The sequence below is a fragment of the Homo sapiens genome, chromosome 4 (assembly GCF_000001405.40).
Source record: "Homo sapiens chromosome 4, GRCh38.p14 Primary Assembly".
Taxonomy (NCBI): Eukaryota; Metazoa; Chordata; class Mammalia; order Primates; family Hominidae; genus Homo; species Homo sapiens.
Window position 1 is genome coordinate 48,080,478 of NC_000004.12, and position 22,251 is coordinate 48,102,728.

At 38.6% G+C, this 22,251-nt stretch overlaps 1 protein-coding gene across 9 annotated transcripts in view, besides 1 other annotated feature; it reads right to left on the reverse strand.

Moving 5' to 3' along the window:
• The window catches only part of TXK (TXK tyrosine kinase), a 67,858-nt gene that overhangs the window by 14,085 nt on the left and 31,522 nt on the right, over positions 1-22,251 (reverse strand). For 6 of the 9 annotated variants that reach the window (XM_017008581.3, NM_003328.3, XM_011513747.4 and 3 more), the window contains 4 exons: positions 14,666-14,745; positions 13,600-13,727; positions 9,273-9,347; positions 5,989-6,160 (listed from right to left, as the gene is read on the reverse strand). In XM_017008581.3, coding sequence (XP_016864070.1) covers positions 5,989-6,160; positions 9,273-9,347; positions 13,600-13,727; positions 14,666-14,745 — 455 coding nt within the window. Of the gene's footprint in view, positions 1-5,988; positions 6,161-6,340; positions 6,649-9,163; positions 9,348-13,599; positions 13,728-14,665; positions 14,748-22,251 lie in introns of those variants that run through there. The other 3 variants (XR_007057955.1, XM_047416125.1, XM_011513748.4) reach the window with 3 other exon arrangements.
• Positions 13,299-14,498: an enhancer, noted in NCBI's record as "P300/CBP strongly-dependent group 1 enhancer chr4:48095793-48096992 (GRCh37/hg19 assembly coordinates)". NCBI's record gives its function as "activates an origin of replication core promoter dependent on BRD2, BRD4, P300/CBP, MED14 and CDK7 cofactors, with strong dependence on P300/CBP, by STARR-seq in HCT116 cells {active_cell/tissue: HCT116}" and the evidence as "EXISTENCE:reporter gene assay evidence [ECO:0000049][PMID:35650434]".

Below are 22,251 nucleotides of genomic sequence, written 5' to 3' on the forward strand. Positions count from 1 at the left end.
CAACTTTCTTACCTGCAGCTGTCCAGATGAAAAATTCTGGACAGACAAGAGGGAGGAAAGAGTGACTAAAAGAGAAAACAAAAATTAAATTCTAAAGCATGAAGTTCTTTAAAAGGAAAATTGTAGATAAAGTTGGAAACTAAAAAACATTTACCAACATGAAAACTTGCAGTGTATTTGGTAATCACACACACACACACACACACACACACACACACACACACACAAAGACTTGAATGTTGCCTATTAAAATATACCCAGAACTTTTTAGTTATCTAGACTTCAAAAGTTTATTGGTTTTGTGTGCGTGTGTGTGTAATACTATATTCAATCTCTAAAAGCCTTTTATGCCAACTAGTCATCATGGAAAATAATATTCAAATTAATGCTTATAATTTTAGAAGATGTACCTTGTGTCAAATGCATCTTGAAAAGTTATTGCTTCTTTTCATTCTTTTCATTCATAAAGGTAAAATAAAATCAGTGACTTGGGAAGACTGTGTACCTTAACACAATGTATATGAACGATTTTTGACTCATTACCATAAAATTAGCTTGTGAAAACACTCCAGTTAATGTGGAAGAGAGGCATTCAGAGAACTTAACATTATCTTAATTTGGAGATATATATATATTATATATATTTTGTCTGATTTACTTTTTGAATTCATAAAGTGTACTTTCAGTTAAGAGATGCAGTTTACATATATATAGAGTAAGTGCAGAAAAGCAAGTCTTGAGATGAAATACTAATTTGCCACAAGAAATCCACCAAGTTGATACCCACATGGAAGCATTTGAGAATTGAAATGTTACTGCATTTCCTTATCAAGATCACTGGTAAAAATCTAACAGAAATAAGGCAAACCTTTATCAGAAATCAGGCAAAAACAAACTCTCGCATGTGATTCAGTCTAACAAATATGACAAATATTTCTCACAAGCATAGAAAGATGCAAATGGAAAATCTACATTCTTGTTTGTTATAACTCTAGGACTTCTTAATACACATTATTTCTCAGTTTAGAGAAGTATGTGGGATTCATCATAGGGCAAACACACATTTAAATTTATTTAAATTTGTTATTTAAATATTTTCAGACCCTTTGCAGGCTTCTCCAGTTCTCCTTTTCTAATCATTCTCTTTCCCTAAGTAATCGCATTAAGTTTCAGGGTTTTAAATATCATCATATCATTTTGATCACTCTCAAGTTAATACCCTCCACTCTGACCTTTTTCCTGAACCCCAGACTCATATATTTACCTCAACACTTGATCACACCTAATAAATAACAGGCTTCTCAAATCCAACATGTCCAAAGCAGAATTCTTGATTTTTCCCCCTAAACCCGTTTGGTCTTCCCCCATCTTTGTAAATGGTGCCATCCTTCGCCTGATATAATAATGTACACCAAAACCTCAGCATCATCTTTGTTCCTCTGGTTTCTTCCGACTACCTGCCACATTCAATTTATCAGCAAGTCTTGATGACTTTATCTCAAAAATGTATCCTGAAACAATTCTCCTCTTTCCATCTCTTGCCCTCTGACATATATTAGTTTTCCAAGAGTGTATTGATAATTATGTTCATTAAGATCAGGGTTTTTGTGCCCAGATAGTTCACAGTTTTGATTTCAATTAGAAGCTCTAACAATGTTTTGTTGTGGGACTACAGGCAAATTACATAATGTAAACCAAAAATAAAATTCTAAGCCCCTAACCATCTGAATGGACTCTTCCTCTTAGCCAAGGGCATTCTAAAATTAACCTGTAAAACTAGTTCAGGCCACGATGGGAAGAGGGAGTTGGACATGCCTCATAACCATTAACATCAACACAGACACTGAGACTGATAGAACAGACTCTTTAAGTCTACTAAGAAACATTTACAATCTATTTTCCCTGAAACCTTCTACCTGGAAGTTTCATCTGCATAATAAACACAGACCATCTGTATTGGTCTCCACAACTCTTTAGAGTAACCAAGACATTCCTTTCCATTGATTCAAGTTCTTTGGATAATAACTCAACCAATTGTCAATCAGAAAATCTTTGAATCTGCCTATGACTTGGAAGCCCCCACTGATATGGACAGGAGACAGGGAAATACTGGGTAGAAGATGACAGTTTCCCCAGGAAAGTCCTCACCCTCAAGCCTAGATACCTATGGCCTTAAGTGAGAACAGCCATTCCTGTTTTTGTGCCCCAAAAGTTGCTTTTTGGCCCACCACGCCCCCTATCCTGTACCCATACAAATCGCAAACTCCAGGTCCAGAAGCAGATGAGGAGATGAATAGACAAACAGCAGAATGGTACAGCAGAGAAGGGGAGGAAAGAAGGAACGTCAGGAGGAGTTCAGCTGGACCAGTCAGAGAATCGGCTGTTGGATGGCCAAACTCCAGGGGAAGATCATCTTCCTACCCCATCATCCCCTGTCCAGCTTCCCATCCATCCTGCTGAGAGCCACCTCCAACAGTCAATAAAATCCCACATGCATCCTTCAAGTTTGTGTGTGACCTGATCTTCCAGGACACTGGACAAGAGCTTGAGATACAGAAAGCTGTCATACTGGCCCCCTGCCCTTGCAAAAAGGCAGAGGGTTCACTGAGCTGGTTAACCCTTAAGCCATCTGCGGATCACAAGGCTAAAAGAGCACACTACAACGCAGACCCACTTGGGCTTTGGGAGTTGCAGACACCCACCCCTAGATGCTGCTGTTGGGCTAGAGCCCAAAAGCACTCACCCTGATTCCTGCACCTGCCCATCTGCATGCTCCCCATCCTGTAAAAGGTCATAGTGGCTGACCAGAGAGCCACACCTCTGTTGCATGTCCTGCAAGTGGGGGCCAGAAAACTTTCCTGTTTCACCACTCATGTTGTCCTGCCTTTCCAGACCAAACCAATGTACACCTTACATGGATGGATTGATGTCTTATGTCTTCCTAAAATGTGTAAAACCATTTTTACATTTTGTAGGCCGATCACCTTGGGCACATATCATCAGGACCTCCTGAGGCTGTCATGGGCATGTCCTTAACCTTGGCCAAGTAAACTCTTAAATTAATTGAGACTTGTCTCAGAAACATTTTGGTTTATAATAAGCCTTCTAAATGTTCTCTTTCTTACCTATAAAGTTGGGATCTTAATAGAAGCTACCACTTGGAGTTGTGGTGAGGATTCATTAATTCATTCAATAGTCCATAAATGTTTTTAAGCACCAACTACATGCTAGTCATCCTTTTAACACTCACCAGGTTAAACAGGAGAAATAAATAAAGGTTATATTATTAGAGAGCTTGCATGCTAGTGGGAGAGAAATAAAACAACTACACATGAAGCTTCAGAGTATGACAAGTACTTTGATGGAACTAACACAAGGCGATACAACAGAAAGCATTTGGCAGTGGGTATGCCAACTTAAACAGAGTAGTCAGAGGAGACCTCCTGAAAGAGGTAATATTTAAACCACACACAGAAAGGAGCTAATATGTGCAAAGCTATATATACTCGGTAGATAGTATGTCAATGCATGTCAACTATTTTAAAAATAAATATATTTGCAATAGAATGTTAGAATGGAAGATTTTCTGCCTCACTTTTTTAGAAATCAGGGATTTGTGTGTGTGTGTGTATGACAGGGTCTCACTCTGTCACTCAGGCTGGAGTGCAGTGGTGCCATCATGGCTCACTCTAGCCTCAACTTGCTGAGCTCAATTGATCCTCCCACCTCAGCCTCTTGAGTAGCTGGGACTACAGGTGCTCCCTACCATGCCTGGCTAGTTTTTTTGTTTTTTTTTTGTAGAGACAGGGTTTCGCCATGTTACCTAGGTTGGTTTCAAACTCCTAGGCTCAAGTGATCCTCCCATGTTAGCCTCCCAGAATGAATCAGGGGAAATATTGTCCTCAAAGATCCTGACCTCAAATGCCCCATCAGGCTTGTACCTTTCAAGAATTCTCTCATTATGACATTAAACATCTTCAATTCTTTCTTGTTTGATAGACAGTCAAACATGTTTTTAACTCTCCCTGAATAACTTGTCTCCCATTCATTCTTTTTTTATTATGCCTATTTAATCCAACACAGGAATACAATTTTTGTCCTTTAGGTATAGAAAAACCACGGTAGGATGCAGATATCTACAGGAAGCAAAGGCAGATAGAGATAGGTGCCTGGGGCACCTAGGGACCCAAAAACATCATTGGGAAGCTGGTGTCACTGGGAAATTGTGTTTGTAACAACTTCCCTTGGAATTCGTTCTATTGTAAGTGAATGGAAAGGATATTTTGATAGGACCCTCAGGGTATGGGTTGAGAGCCCCAAGGGATATACTTGCTCTGCCTTCGAAAGAGAATGGGTCCAGTTAATCGAGAATGGGTCCAGTTAATCGAGAATGGGTCCAGTTAATCGAGAATGGGTCCAGTTAATCGAGAATGGGTCCAGTTAATCACCTCTGATTGTTGTTTGCTTGTTTGTTTGTTTTTCTAGTTGGAGTCTGCAAGTGCGGGTCAGAACTAAATTTCTCTGGAAAACAGAGCAGAATCTAAATAATGTCATCTGGAGTTTTTCTTCTTCACAGCATTGCTGTTCCTCTAAATAAATGTTGAACAAATATTTAAAGAATGTTAATTTGAACTATGGTCAAATTATTGGCCTGTCCTGGTCCTGCTCAGGTTGTTAAAGTTAATGAGCCACAGAAATGGGTTCAACTGAGTCAAAATGCTGTCCCGGGAAATCACAGAAGAGTTGTGTCCAATGGTCTACAAAGAGCCACTTCTTTTAAAGCTCTGGACCCTTATGTCCTCTGAAAGCAAATACTTTTTTATCCTTAAAAAACCATTAACTCTTTTTGGCCACCGGAGGATGCCCTTTCAAGAGATGAGTAGTGTATCACTACTAAGACATAACCATCATTTCTGCTTCTGGGAAAAGGAAAAAAAAAAGAGTACTTGTAAAGCACCTATTATTGAGCTGAAAAGAACACACTTGCTTGTCACTGATACCAACAGGAGGCAGGGAAATACTAGGTAGAAGCGGGCAGTTCCCCAGCAAAATCCCCACCTTCAAGCCTGGAAACCTGCTGCCCTAAATGGGAACAGGCATTTTTATTTTTGTGCCCAGATGCTGCCCTTTCCAAGACTGCTCTAGCCTGCCACACCCCTGTACTGTGCCCATATAAACCCCAAGCTCCATTGGCAGGTGACAGAGCAGTGCAGCAGAGAAGAAGAGAAGAGGAGGAGTGTCTAAACATTGAGAGGAGTTCTGCTGGGGGCAGTCAGAGACGAGATCGGCTGCAGGATGGTCAAACTCCCAGGGAAGATCATCTTCCCACTCCATCCCATTTCCAGCTCCCCATGCATCCCGCTGAGAGCCATCTCCATCACTCAATAAAATCTCTGCATTCACCATCCTTCAAGTCCGTGTGACCTGATTCTTCCTGGATGCCATACAAGGACCCAGGTATCAAGAGGGCAGGATGCAAAAGGCTGTCACCCTGACTTTCCACTGAGGTGGTTAACACTTAGCCATCTGCAGACAGAAAAGCTAAAAGAGCATTGTAACACCTCTAGACACTGTCGTGGGGCCAGAGCCCAAAAGCACTCACCCTGGCTCACCTGCATGCTCCTCCTCCCGTAAGGGATTTGAGCACACAGCGGCTGAGTAAATGAGCCACCCTCTTCACAAGGCATTCTGCAAAGGTGTCAAGGGAATTCTCCTGTCTCATCACTTACATAAATTCTCTTATTTAATTCACACATTGATCCAGTGAGGTAGGTACTTTCATCCCATTTTATAGATGAAGACATTGAGGCTTGGAAAGGTGAAATAATTCACCCAGGTCACACAGTGGTCAAATAATGTGCCTGGGTTACACAATGAGCTTGAGCAAAGTTGTGACACAAATCCAGGTGTGGCTGCCTCCAAAGCTCATGTTGTTTCCATGACACCAGGGCATGGTATGATATTTATCAGGGTGTTGTTTATACGTACATCATCACTTTGGCCTCTTCAATGAAATCCTCTTCAGACATGGAGCCTTCATTGATGGCCTTGATAGCTACCTGGATATGTGACCGCCATTCACCTAAATGGACCACTCCAAACTGACCGCTTCCAATCTCCTTTATAAAAGCCAACTCAGATGGATCTATCTCCCACTTTTCTGAAAAAGTAAAACATCCATGTTACAAGTAGAAAGAAAGACTGTTAAAATATTAGGGCTGGAAAATGTTTAGGAAGTATCTATTATTTGACAGAGAGGTTAAAAAATGTATAAAGTGGAGAGGATATGAAGCCATTTTAATACTCTCACTGTGGCTTAAACGTAATTCAAGGACTCAAGTTTCAAAACACAAACTTTATTTATTTGGTGATGTTTGTATAACAAATTAAGGATAACAAAATGCACTCTCTGCTCCCAAAGACAACAGCGAACACACTTCTGTGCCTTTCTAAACTAAACCTACCAAAACTAGACCTGGGACCCAAAATATTTATGTTCCCAGTCTGGTTTTTTTTTCCTGGTGAGTAAACTTGTAAGGCAAATAAAACTGTGATTTCAGTTCTTCCTGTTGGTCTTCTCACTCCATTCCTAAAGGGCTTTTCTCCCTTGATACTTTTTCTTCTTAGGGAAAAGTCCAATGAAATCATCTAATAAACAAATTCAGTGTTAGAAATCTAACCCACATATATCTAAGAGTATAGCTGAAGTGAAATTTTTACTGTATATTTCTCATTTTATAGAAGCAAATCAGGAAAAAATAAACTGTTTTTAAAATAACCCTCTTGAAAACTGTACCAAACTTAATGGTTTAGTGTCTCCTTTTAATACAGCAATACCACCATCTGCTGGAACTTTTGAATAATGCATTTAAAAGAATTGTAAAATCTGATAGTCCCTTCTACCAGCTATGCAAAGTATTCCCCCTCCCTATAGAAGGTATGTTTTATTTTATTATTATTATTATTTTTTTTTTTGGAGGAAGGGTCTCACTCTCTCACCCAGGCTGGAGTGCAGTGGCACGATCTCAGCTGACTACAAGCTCCACCTCTTAGGTTCAAGTGATTTTCCTGCCTCAGCCTCCCAAGTAGCTGGGATTACAGGCACGCCATCACGCCTTGATAATTTTTTGTATTTTCAGTAGAGACAAGGTTTCACCATGTTGCCTAGCCTGGTCTCAAACTCCTGAGCTCAGGCGATCTGCCCACCTCAGTCTCCCAAAGTGCTGGGATTATAGGCATGAGCCACCACACCCGGCCTCATAGGTATGTTTTAAAAGTAACATGGGAGGATATATTCATGGCCTTGGAATTGGCATAAATTTATTCAACAGAATATAACCACAAAGAAAAATATTGATAAATTATACTTCATAAAACTTCTGTTCATCAAAAATACCCCCATTAAGAAAGTAAAAAGTTAAGCCACAGAAGATATTTCTAAAATATACAACCAACATAGAATTCTTATTCTGAATATAAATAAATCAACTAGAGAAGACATATACCCTAACTTTTTTAAGGGTAAAAAATGTGAATGGAGTATTCTCTTATGAAGAGAATATCCAAATGGCCACTAAGCCAAATTGATAAAAATAATTAGTCATCAGGGAAATGTAAATTTAGACCATAATGAGATACTACGACACACCAGATTGGCTAACATGTAAAAAAAAACCTAGAATAAAATATTGGCAAGGGCAAAGGTATGGAGCCGCTAGAACTTACATATTGTTGATGGGAGTGTAATTTGGTATAAGCTCTTTAGAAAACTGACTGTATCTACTACATCTAAACATATGCATAGCCTATGACCCAGCAGGTGTACACTTAAGCACATATCCAACATATGCTGGAATGTAAATGTGCACTTAACTTCATCAAAACACACACAAAAATGTTCTTAACAATATTATTTGTAAGAGCCAAAAATTGGTAACAACCCGAATGGCCATCTACAAGAAGCATGGCTAAATCAGTTGTGGTATGTCATGCAGTGTAGCACTGCACCACAGTGAAAATAAACCAACCCCACCCAGGACCATGGATGAAACTCACAGATGTAATGAGGTGAGGAGGAAGCCAGACACAAAAAACTGCAGCGTCCGATTCTGTTTATATAACGTAATCAAACCAGGCAAAACAAATCAATCTATAGACTTATGAGTTGTACACTATTCTATTTGTTTTTAAATTTTTTAAGTTTATTTTTAAGAAATTAAAAAGAATCATGTTTAACTTAAGTAAATTGTTAATGGTAGAACTTTGTATTATATATACTATCTGTGGGCCAGAGGAATAATACAGGCACCAATAATAGCCAGAAATCTTGCTTCCATCCCACTTAACTTAATGAGATCCTGAGTCCCAGTTACTTTTTTCCCAATATATTGTGTTATTAATTTTTTCAGTACATTCTGAATCCCACTATTGAGAGAAGTTTAAAGGAATAAAATGTCACCAAATTAGAAAATAGGATTCCCTGGCACTTACGTATTCTCACAGATTTACAAATACCACATTTGCTAGAAAGTGGTTCAAATTGAACTTTGTGCATGTTCTATTAGAAACAAAAAAAAAGATGAAGACGATACTTTCAGCAGCTCTTTTTAGTAGCTTCTCTTGGAGAGGAATCATTTCCCAGGCACCCTTGAAACCAAAGAACAACAACCCAAACATCCAAATAAAAAGAATTGTAATTTATCAAAAGGGTGAAGATTAAGGCTCCTGGTAATGTAACAGTGAAATCTGAAGTCAAACGGAAGCATTTCTCCCCAAAGTTTAAATTGTCCTTATGAGATGCACATATTTAAACATCTCAGAAGGGTGATGTAAACTTTGAGAAGAAATGTTTCTAGATAGACATTTCGGAAGTGCTGAGAGTTCAAAGAATCAATAGGGAACTAGATTCTTTTTTTTTTTTCCTTTTTTTTTGAGACAGAGTCTCACTCTGCTGCCCAGGCTGGAGTGCAGTGGCATGACCTCAGCTCACTGTAACCTCTGCCTCCTGGGTTCAAGCGATTCTCCTGCCTCAGCCTCCCAAGTAGCTGGGATTACAGGCATCCACCACCAAACCCGGCTAATTTTTTGTATTTTTAGTAGAGACGGGGTATCACCATTTTGGCCAGGGTGGTCTTGAACGCCTGACCTAAGGTGATCCACCCACCTTTGCCTCCCAAAGTGCTAGGATTACAGCTGTGAGCCACCGCACCCAGCCAGGTAGATTCTTTACTACTGGATTTGCTATTTTACTTCAGCATGTGTGCACACTTTACCGTAGCTAAACCCAGCTGTGGCTGGTAAACAACTGCCCATCAGCCCAACTGGATATCGGAGACGAGTCATGAGACCTAAGGAGAAAGAGAAATCAATATTTCAAGCCTAGTTGCTAATATAGAAGAAAGAATGAAATATTCTAGAAGACAGTACCATTCTTTAAATAATTAGACAAACAAAATTCATTCTACCAGTTAGTCAGCAGTTTGCTTATTTTCCCACATTTTCCAAAAAAAAATATATACTCATTGTATACAATTTAAAGAATCTAAGGAAGTATAAAGATGACCCTAAAAAATCCCTCACAAAATCTTAGTATTCACAGATAGATTGTTATCATCTTGGTGAATATTTTTGCAAAAATCACTATGTGCATAATTGAAAACATGAACACATCCAATATATTTTGCAGAAATATAAATATTTTGTTAAAAGCTTTTTGCACTATGCACGTAATTGATATATGTCATTGACTATAAACAGAGCTTAAATTTATTTCCAAGATTTCGCTATTATAAAATATGCCATATGTCCTTGAACATACATTTGTCTGTACTTCTCAAATTATCACCTTATAAAATGTGATTTCCAGGTCAAAGCGTGTCCAGAAAGGATGTACTAATTTATTCAACCACCAACGGTGTTGAAGTGTGCCCATTTTGTATAATCTTTGTTTATTTGATTTTTAATAGCATGGTAGAGTAAATGAGACTTCATTTAATTGGGTTAACATATAGATTTCTATACATCAAATGTCTCTTTTTTTCCTTTCAGTGACCCACTTAGGCATATACCTTACGTTTCAACTTAGTTTAATAATCATTTATTATTTATTTGTTCAGCTAATATTTATTAAAAGCCTGGTATGCGCTTTCAATAAAAGCTTTCAATAAAACACTATCTAGATGTTGGGAGACAGTAGGGAACAAGACTGATGATTCGGTCTTGCTCTCATGATTACATTCTAGTGAGAGGAAGAGAAAATAACAAGGGCATGCACACACAAGAAAAAGTAGATAATGATGATTAAGTGCAAGGCAGACCGGATAACATATAATTACTTTAGAGTGGGTGCTCAGGGAAGGCCTTTCAGACAAGATGACAGCTACGCTGACGTTGATTGATGAAGAGCCTTCCAGGTAGATGGAACAGCATGTGTAAATGCTGGAAGACAGAAACGAGCTTGACCAGTGTAAGAACAAAAAGAAGCACATATTAAGTGCCTATTGTGTGCAAGGCACTCTTCTAGGTAGATTCCCAAAGATTCCAGCAGATTCCAAGATGAGTAAGATGAGGACTCTGCCCACAGGGAGCTCTATCTCAGTGAGAGAAGACAGGCAGAGAGAGGCCATTCTAATGTGAAAGGAATAAGTATTCTGCTGGAGATGCATATAGGGTGCCTTGGGATGTAGAAAAAGAGCACTTGACACATTGTTGGACTCGAAGAATTCTTTGGGAGGAAATGACTGAGATGAAACTAACACATGGAGTTAACCCATGGGGAGAAACTATGAAGGACTTTCTAAGCAGAGGTAACGCATGAGATGAAACTTAGAAATGTGAAGCATGATGGTGGGTACTTGAGCAAAACTCAGGAGGTAGAGCCAGACAAATTGCACTGCAGAGGTAAGCAGTATTCTGGGTATGATGGGACTCATAAGCCACGCTAGGAAGCATTACATTTTCCTGCAGGTGAGAGGAAGCTATTGAAAAGTCCCAAGTAGGAGGGCACAGTCAGATTTACATTTCTTTTTCTTTTCTTTTTTTTTTTTGAGATGGAGTTTCACTCTTGTTGCCCAGGCTGGAGTGCAATGGTGTGATCTTGGATCACTGCAACCTCCGCCTCTCAGGTTCAAGCGATTCTCCTGCCTCAGCCTCTCGAGTAGGTGAGATTACAGGCATGCGCCACCATGACTGGATAATTTTGTATTTTTAGTAGAGATGGGGTTTCACCATGTTGGCCAGGCTGGTCTTAAACTCCTGACCTCAGGTGATCCACCCACCTTGGCCTCCCAAAGTGTTGTAATTACAGGCATGAGCCACTGCACCCAGCCAGATTTACATTTCTGATAGATCACTCTGGTACTAGCAGAATGGATTAAGGGGAAATCAACATTGGAGGCAATAAGACCAGTTAAGAGGCTACTGCAGTTGTCCAAGTGAGCAATGATCAGGGCAGCACTAGAAGGTAGGGAGAGGCAGGGATCTATAGGAGACACATTTAGGATATGAAATCAATTGCATTTGATAATTAATCAGAAGTGAGCTATTAAGAAGCATCTATTTAATTCCTATGCTTCCAACCCCTACAAGGGGCTGGATGATGCTAGTATTATCTGAGAGAGAGAAAAGAAAGAGGACATTTGGAGGGAGAGTAATGGTGTAAGATGAAGCATCCTACTTCATCAGTGAAGTTCAGGGCCTGCGGGATTGCAAGTGCCTTTGTCTACCAGACAGAAGATTATGCAAAGGGAGATGCCTAAGGTGAGAAGAGTAGTGATCAGGGACGGATTCTGGAGGAAAACCAATATTTAAGGGAAGAATAGAAGTAGGGCACATTGGGAAGATCCATTAGGAACTATTGAGTTAGAGAAGGCCAAAAAGGGGTGGTGTCAAACATCGAAGGAGCAACAAGTGACACTGCCAAATGTAGCAGAGAGGACCTGAACACATGAGAACTAGAAAGCACCACTGTACTGTCAATATAGGGGCCACTGGTCAAATATGGAGTGTTGAAAGCAGAAGACAGATCATAGATGTTTAAAAAGTAAATGGAAAGTGAGAGAGTGGAGACAATGGATGTGGACACATTTTTCCAAAAGTGTGACTTACAAGAGCAATGTGTAAAGGGAGAAAGAGTTAGGGCAGCAGGAGGAGAGTTGTTTTTGTTTTTAGGATAAGAAAGTCTTAAGCATGTTTATAGGGTTAAAAGCTAAAGGGAGACAGTCAGAAGAATGGAAGAGATACAGGAGAGAAAGGAACAGTGGATGGCAGGTAAGGGCAAGAGCACAGGCATGCCCTCACTACTACTGGAGGGAATGAGGATGAGAGGGCATGGGGACAGAAGAGGAGACGGAGGTCGCTCATGCCTGGTGACTTCACTTTTCCTAGTGAGGTACACAGACAGGGGATTTGCTAATAAGGCAGTGGTTAATTTTGGTAAAGGAGTCTTGAGAATGGTAAAAGTTTGAACAGGGAACAGGAATGGATGCTCACCGTGACTCTAACACCTAGTTCAGGTTAAAGCCCTCATCTAACCTCATTTAACCTTATCACCAAAACCACTCTTTCTTTTTTCTTTGGAGGAAGGAGAAAGAGGAATATAAAGGAGAAAACTCAGAACTGACATCTTGACTCTATCTCTAGCTACAACTAAGACCTTTATTGCCCCACCCAGATATTTTACCCTCACTCCTTAACCAAAATTCCAGTGAATAGCCATGTGGATGCATCCCACAAGTGGATAAAAATGTCCTTTGATATATTCCTGATACTTAGAACCAGTGTAATGGAAAAGTGAGCTCTTTCCAAAAGGAATATTTGTCAACACTTTTCATGAGAGAAATCTAAAAAAGAAGTGCATGCATGACAAGCAGTCAAAATGACATGAAAAGTTACCGTGGATTCTGAATTCTGCAATGCTGAGATAAGAAGATTCCCCATGGGCTCAGAGTGGTTCAGCACAGGTTGGGCAAGGGCTGAAGGCCAGAGAGGTGATTTTAATTGTGGTGGAACTTTCTGGGATCCTACATCTTTCCACAGATGATAGGTTTGCACAAAGAGCAATTATTGCAAACAATGTCTGGGGAGATGGGTTAAATATGCCTCTGGTATAGTTAGGCTAAATTGTAACTGTGAAAGGCTGTGTTCTCTGTGACTTTTTATATTCTCCAAACAAGAAAGAACAGAGAGTGAGAGATATAAGGGTGATTTTCTATTACAATCGTCAAAAGTAGAGAGCAGATTTATGGGGGCAAAGGGAAAGAAGCATCATTATTTAGGGTATTTGAAATCTTATTACATTTAGCCCTATGTAAATTTCCAGAACAAATGCATAATGATTGATGACTATTTGCTTCTCTGTCATCTATCATTTTTCTAACCTGGTAGAAATATAAGAAATTGACCTACCTCTTGCCCCCAACCAACCAGAAAAATGAAGAGGCATCAATAAGAAAGATAATTGCTCAAAAGATAAGTTGTACTTCAAGCTTTTAAACTATTTCTATAGGGAGATTTGCTCCTGTTGAGTGCCTGATACCAAAGATGCATTGCCCATCAAGGGCATGGCTCCCTGACTCACCCAGCTGGAAGTTCCCCTCTTACCGGCTGCATTGTGCTGGTGATACCAGATTAACTCAGGGATTGATTGAAAGGCGTGTCTTTCAGCCACATACCACTGTCCTGAGTCATTCTTTTTTATCTGATAATGTTTTATGGCAGCCTCCGTACTTCTACAATCAAGAAAATGTGAATTACTAGAAATGTGAAAGATCAATTTGGATCTAAGCCAACTCATTAAACAACAGGACTCCAGTTCTAAAACTCATCCTAGCAACACTACACTGAGAAGTAGATTGGCTAAATTCAACAAGTGCCCCCCCATGCCAAGAAAATTCCTCAACTACATTATTGGGGCCTTAGATTCAAACATAACTTCAGCCAAAGTTGTCTGAGTGACAAGACCAGTGTTCAGAAAAGTAGATCTCATAATGAATACATGTAAGTACATATTGAATATCAAGTATTGGTTAAATGAATGAACACATGCACTGTAAGCAATTGGAGATGGGAGACAAGAAGGGAGGAAAAACCAATGCCAGGTGCATTAGTTAGTAGGTTACTACTATGGGCAATTGGGGCTCAATACTTGTAGGAACCTAGGAGAGACTGGGGAACACACCTCACAATTGTCCCACTGAAGTGCAAAGAAGCTGAGATATTTATCCACCAACTCCCATTCTCTTTAACCTAGCATTGCTCCTGGGATGTTACCTCTCAGGCACTTTCAGCTTAGCCACGGGGCGCACAAGTTCCCACAGCCAGAGAACATCCTCAGGCAGACAGACACAGGAAGCTTTCTGAGTGCAAGAGACTTTTCTGCAAGTGAATCCCAGAACAGACCAAGGGATATGAGGAAAGCGCCCAACAGCGTCTACTACAACTAATCTCCCCCTCTTTACTTTATGGTTGAGAAAAGGAAGACGGGAGAGGTTAAGAAACTTATGCAATGTCACACAGAGCATGCTAGGGATATATCACGGACTGGTTGGTTTTTCTAACTTCCAGGTCAACAATCTTTTCCCTAAGCTAAGCTCTCACTAACATTCTCTATGTGATGGAGACTGTGCCAGGGATTATTTCTATAGTAACCAAAATCACAAGTGCTTACCTTCTAGCTCCCATAAATACGGAAATTGTGTAGGATCCTAAATGTCTTGAATCTCTGACAATAAATGCACCTTCTTTAGACTGCAAAAAAAATCATTTATTGAATAAGTCTATTCCTTCTTAGAAAGACAAACCTACAACTCAGGGATGAAAATCAAAGCTATATTGACTTACCATAAATAAGTGACCTGCTATATTATTAATATGAAGAATTAGATTGTCTTTACAAGTACACAAAATCTTATCTCCCTTATAGATTTAGAAGTCACACCTATAAAATAAATTGTAATTGGGACATGCATTTATAATGTACTTTAGAATACTGTTACTGATTTTTCTAAGAAAAATTCTCTATTTGAAAACCTTGTACCCTACTGCTTATTTTTGTTATATTGACCAGAATAATAGATTAAAAATCACTGTAGAATAGGAAGAACACTAAGACAGACTGACCGGATTGTACTTTGGAAGAAGAGCAACAAGGTGACAGGGAGGAACACAGCTGGGCAAGCAGGGCGTGGGGAAGGACACCAGAGTTCATGGGAAGTAGAAAGAAAGAACAGATATGGGGGAGTCTGAAAAGAAAAGCAAAAGGAACCATATTAGTTGCAGTAGGGGTATGGGAAGATAAAAAGAAGTGGTAAAAGGGAGAACATGATAGTAAATCTGAAGTTATGTTATAAATTAGATTCCTATTAACATTCTTTGGGAGATGCCAATAAAGCTGTAAATTGCTTTCAAAGAATCTTGAATGTTGCATTGTTTAGATTCGTTTGTTTGATATTGTAAAATGATTTAGCTTTACTGAGTGTGCTTATGCTCATGAAGAGGGAAAATACATCTCAGAATCTTGTCAAACCCATAGAAGCTTACACTTATAAAGTGCTGGTATTATTTACATTGTGCTTGAGAATTGCAGAACCCAAATAGCATGGTCTGACCCTCAAGGTAAACGTACTACATTAAGTAGAGTCTTCTCCTTCTCATTCCAGATATTCACCCAGATATAAGCCTTATTCCCTGGTCAAATTGTTTTAACCAAAGAATCTCTTGCAGCCATTCGAAATAATAAAATCTAGCTTTTACTATATTCCTACAATGTACAAGGGTACTGTTACATACCACAGAGGACACAAGATGTAAAAGACAAAGATGAAAAAGTAAAGTTGAATGTATTGTGTATATGTATATAATACACACAAACAAGTATATATAATATGCATATAAAGTTGCATATGTAGTGATAGCTTTATAGAAACAAAGTAGAAAGGGTACAAGCAAGATTTCCTGACTACAAAGCAATAAAACCAGAAATTAATAGCAAACTGAAAACTAAAAAAGCTCCTATCACCTAAAGATTTTTAAATTTTCTTTCTCTTTCTTTCTTTTATTTTTTTGAGATGGAGTCTCGCTTCGTCACCCAGGCTAGAGTGCAATGGCATGATCTCGGCTCACTGCAACCTCCACCTCCCAGGTTCAAGCCGTTCTCCTTTTCTCCTGCCTCAGCCTCCCCAGTAGCTGGAATTACAGGCACATGCCACCATGCCTGGCTAATTTTTGTATTTTTTGTGGAGACAAGGTTTCACCGTGTTGGCCATGCTGGTCTCGAAATCCTGACCTCAAGTGATATGCCCACCTCAGCCTCCCAAAATGCTGGGATTACAGGCGTGAGCCACCATGCCCGGCCTTTTAAATTCTCTTTCATATAGCTCAAAGAAATTCAAATAAAAGCGAAGAATATCTAGAAAGTAATAAGGAAACATCACATATTAGCACCTCTGCTATGCAGTTCAAGCAGTACTCAGAAAAATAAATTTATAGTCTTATTACTTATATCAACAAGCAATAGCAATAAAAATAAGCATATTCAACTCAAGAAATTAGGATTAAAAACTATAAAATAAGCCCAAATCAAGTAGAAGAAATAAATTAATAAAGACAAAACATAAAATAATAAATTATTAAAGTAAGAATATAATATGACTAGTAAATTCAAAATCTGGTTGCTTAGGGAAAAATAATAGATAAACTGCTAATTAACCTAATCACTAAATAATGGTGAAAATCAATCAAAAATAATAAGTCACAAGGAGAAAATTATCAAGGATCCAGTAAAAATTAAGGAATTTACTTGATTCTATACAATAAATTTGGAAACTCGAATGAAATGGATAATAAACTAGTAAGACATAAAATTTATCAAAATTGAATGCAGAAGAGTTAGGAATCTTAATGGACCTGTTGAGTAGAAAAATTGATTGGGTTTTTAAAAAGCTACCACTTTTTTTTTTTTTTTGAGACGGAGTCCCACTCTGTCGCCAGGCTGGAGTGCGGTGGCGCCATCTCGGCTCACTGCAAGCTCCACCTCCAGGATTCAAGCGATTCTCTTGCCTCAGCCTCCTGAGTAAATTCAAACTCCTGAGTAACTCCTGACTACAGGCGCCTGCCACCATGCCCAGCTAATTTTTGTATTTTTAGTAGAGGCAGGGTTTCATCATGTTGGCCAGGATGGTCTCGATCTCTTGACCTTGAGATCTGCCCGCCTCAGCCTACCAAAGTGCTGGGATTACAGGCGTGAGCCACTGCACCCAGCCAAAAGCTACCACATTTTTTTTTTTTTTTTTGAGACGGGGTCTCGCGCTGTTGCCCGGGCTGGAGTGCAGTGGCGCCATCTCGGCTCACTGCAAGCTCTGCCTCCTGGGTTCACGCCATTCTCCTGCCTCAGCCTCCCGAGTAGCTGGGACTACAGGCGCCCGTCACCACGCCCAGCTAATTTTTTGTATTTTTAGTAGAGACGGGGTTTCACCGTGTTAGCCAGGATGGTCTCGATCTCCTCACCTTGCGATCCGCCCGCCTCGGCCTCCCAAAGTGCTGGGATTACAGGCATGAGCCACCACGCCCGGCCAAAAGCTCCCACATTTAAACAGTACTATAGTCACACATTACAATGTACCGAACCTTAAAGAAAAAAATGGTATAGAGATGAAACTATGCCACAGCACATGACATGAAAAGAAGAAAAACTTTTCAGTTTGTATGTAAAAAATGAGCTTAATATCAATAATCAACAGCACCGCCAGAACTGTGCACAAAAGAGAAAACTACTGACCAGTCTTATCAATGTAAAAATTCTAAATAAAATGTTAAGAAATAAATCCCATGGCACAAACGAATGATATACCATGACCAAGAAGAATTGCATGATGAATGTAAGAATAATTCAGTATTTGGGATTTTATTAACATAATTTATCATATTATTAGGTTTGTGCAAAAGTAATTGTGTTTTTTTCTATTAAAACCACAGTTACTTTTGCACCAACATATATAGCAGCGCTAAGGAGAAAAACCACACGAACATCCCTAGAGATGTTGAAAAGCCATTTGACAAATTTCAACTTCTAGTATCAATTTTTAAAAATTCTCAATAAAATAGGAATGCGTGTGTACTTCCTTAACACAATAGCACTTACTCACTTTAGTCTCAAATCCAGCATCGTGCTATATGTGGAAATCATTCCAAATAAAATCTGAAAAAGGGCCGGACGCAGTGGCTCATGCCTGTAATCCCAGCACTTTGGGAGACCGAGGCAGGCAGATCACTTGAGGCCAGGAGTTCGAGACCAACCTGGCCAACATAGCAAAACTCTGCCTCTACTGAAAATGCCTGTAATCCCAGCTTCTTGGGTGACTGAGGCACGAGAATTGCTTGAACCCGGGAGGCAGAGGCTGCAGTGAGCTGAGATTGCGCCACTGCCCTCCAGTTTGGGCAACAGAGCAAGACTGTCAAAAAACAAACATACAAACAAAAAAAAAATGGGAAAAAAGAAATAATGCCCACTAACTATCATCACTGGCATTTCATACTGTTCTGGAGACACTAGCCAATTCAACTAAGTGAGAGGCAAAAATTAAAAGTACTATATTAAAATTATAAAAGAGGAGCTGAAATCATCACTGTTGGCTGCTGATTGTATACTGGAAGCCCAAGAGAATCAACTGAAAACCTACTACATAAAACATGAGAATTCACCAAAATTATCAGTTACAAAATTAATTCACAGAAATAAAAAGCTTCATAAGTAAAAACAAGATACACTCATTTATGACACCAACACAAAAGATGAAATACTTTAAGATAAACTTAAAAATAAATGTGCAAAAGTTGTACAAAGAAAACTCTAAAATGCTCCTGAAGAATACAAAAATGTTTGCTTTTCTCATTAGGTGTTTAATATACCTATGGTTATTTTTCCAAGAGCCATGAATTTAATTTTAATTTTTTTCTATATGAATATCAATATATGGGTTCTAGAACAAATGGATCCCCAAACCTCATTGATTTGTAATGCCTGAAAATTTTTTTCCCAAATTAATCTGTACATTTAATGCAACCAACCAACAGGAAGATTTTTTAAAATGAGACAAGGTGATTCTGAAGCTTATATGGACAAAAAATATATATTAATACATTCAGAATATTTCTGAAAAAGAATAATGAGGGAGGCTAGCCACACTAGAGACAGCCTCTGTACTTAAAACAGTGTAGTAGTCCTCTATGAGGACTGATCAGTAAAACCAAGTAGAAAGCCCAGATATAGTCCAAAATAGGGATTTTGTTTATTATGACAGTGGTATCTCAAATCAGTGCAGAAAGGTGGATGTTTGGTAACCATCCAGAAAACAATAAAGTCAGATCCATATCTCACTCCTTACATCAGGAAAAATTACAAATGGATCAAAGATAAAAATGCGTAAAATAGGCCGGGCGCGGTGGCTCACGCCTGTAATCCCAGCACTTTGGGAGGCCGAGGCGGGCGGATCACGAGGTCAGGAGATCGAGACCACGGTGAAACCCCGTCTCTACTAAAAATACAAAAAATTAGCCGGGCGCAGTGGCGGGCGCCTGTAGTCCCAGCTACTCGGGAGGCTGAGGCAGGAGAATGGCGTGAACCCGGAAGGCGGAGCTTGCAGTGAGCGGAGATCGCGCCACAGCACTCCCGCCTGGGCGACAGAAAGAGACTCCATCTCAAAAAAAAAAAAAAAAAAAAAAAATGCATAAAATAAAACCACTAAAGCGATCAAGAAACATGAGAATTTTAATAGTCTTCAGGCCAAAAGGCCATAAGACAATAGAAAAACTGCAGGAAATAATGCCACATGTCACAAAGGGCTGATTTCCTTAATATAGCTTCATAGGTCCTACAAATTCTGAGAAAAACATCAAAAACCCAATAGAAAACTATGCAAAGGATATGAACAGAGTTCACAGAAAAGGAAATACAGACATATAAAATTTAGCATATAAAAAATGCTTAGCATTCCCAGAATACAGGAAATGCAAATTAAATCCACACTGAGATGAGGTGTCAGAGAGCAAAGATCCAGATGTTTTCTATAAAGTGCTGTCTGAAAAGGTTATGGGAAAACAGACTCGCTTACATTTCTGGTAGGCATATAAATTGATACAACTCCTACTGAGGACATTTCAATACCTGTTAAAATTAGAAATGTATATTTCATTTGACCCAGAATTTGCACCTTTGAGGATTTATCCTACAAACCCATATAAATGGGAAAAGATATGTGTATAGGTTATGGATGGTAGCATTGTTTCAACAGCAAAAGAAATGTATACTATTTAATTTTCATAATGAAGAATTGGTTTTAAAAATTGTGATATACTCAAACTAAAGAACACTATGCAGGTATAAAATGAAGGAGGACATGTTTTGTGTACTGATGTGGAAAGATTCTAAATATATATCCTTATGTAAAAAAATATATATATAAAAATGTATATAGTATGCTATCGTTTGTGTAAAAGTAACAACAAGAAAATATATTTGAACTTACTTGTGTATGTATTAAATATCTTGGAAAGGACACAAAATAAACTAATAGTAGTTTTTCTGTGGGTAGGGAAATTGGTGGCTTGCAGACAAGATGGAAGAAAACTTTCCAAAATCTTTCGATTTTGAACCACGTGAACATACTCACTATTGAAATATGAAATAAATAAAAATTATAGGATATTGCCATGAATTGTTTGTGCAATAAATTTGAAAATAAATTTAAAATAGGCAATTCTCTAGGTAAATATAAATTATCAAACATTTCAAAAAGAAAAGGAAATTCAATCAGTAGTCATGTATCTACCTGTTTGCAAAAGCAGCATATCTGGACTGTTACAAGACAGTTATAGTAGCTAACCAACCAATATAAACTATTCCAGAGATTGGAAAGACAGACAAAGCCCCATCCCTTAACTCATTTTATGATGTTAATGTAACCTTTATACTAAAACCAAAGAGAACAGAAAATTATAAGCCAGGGTCCCTTTTGAACACAACAGGATAAATGCTGAATAAAATATAAGGAAACCCAAACCAGAATATGTATTTTAAATGCCTTATGACAAGTAGGATTTAATCCAGGTGTATTTTTAAAATAAAAATTAGAAAATATATAAATTAGAAAAACATTTTTAAGATACATAGAAAAAATATGTATATTTTAAATATCCCATGCTTTATATACACATACACACTCATTTCTGATAAAGACCCAGATGTGGAAAGCAAATCCTTAATACATTTAAAAGAGGATAGAAATCCATTAACTACTTCAAGAGGAAGAAAAATTTCTTATACTAAGAAAAAAAAAAAGCACAGATAATAAAGGAAAATTTGAGAAATGTGACCACATTAACCTTTTTAAATTCTATGCAAGAAAACAATATAAAGTTCTCCTAAAAGCCAGAAACCAGAATATATTTACAACATATAACTGACAGAAAAGATCGGTATTCAAAATATTACTTTTTTTATTTTTTATTTTTTTAATTTATTTTTTTGAGATGGAGTCTCGCTCTGTCACCCAGGCTGGAGTGCAGTGGCATGATCTTGGCTCACTGCAATCTCCACCTCCCAGGTTCAAGCGATTCTCCTGCCTCAGCCTCCTGAGTAGCTGGGATTAGAGGCGCCCGCCACCATGCCTGGCTAATTTTTGTATTTTCAGGAGAGACGGGGTTTCATCATGTTGGCCAGTCTGGTCTCAAACTCCTGACCTCAAGTGATCCACCCGCCTCGGCCTCCCGAAGTGCTGGGATTACAGGCTTAAGCCACCACCCCCAGCTGTATTTTTTAAATATAGACTTACAAGTTTAAAAGGCAAGCACTATAGAAAAATGGACAAAAAATATTGACAGGCATGTCACTGAAGAGTAAGCTCAACTGGCCTACAGACACTTCAAAAGTAACTCAGTTGCACTGGTAATCAAGAAAATGTTTGAGAAGGTATACAATTTCTCACCCAATGAATTGAAAAAAAACTGTGAAACTACTTGCCACCTGCTGGCAAGAATGTTGGAAACCAGTTTATCTCATTCACCACAAGAGCGTAAATTAGTATAACCGTTTTGAATCATGTTTTGAAAATATCTAATAATGTTAAATCTGCACATACCCTGTGACCACATAATTCCATCTCGCCCTTGTGTACAAGATGACATTTATAAGAAAATTCATTGCAGCACTGTTTGTAACAGTAACAAATCAGAAACATTTTGAATGTTTATCCACATTGA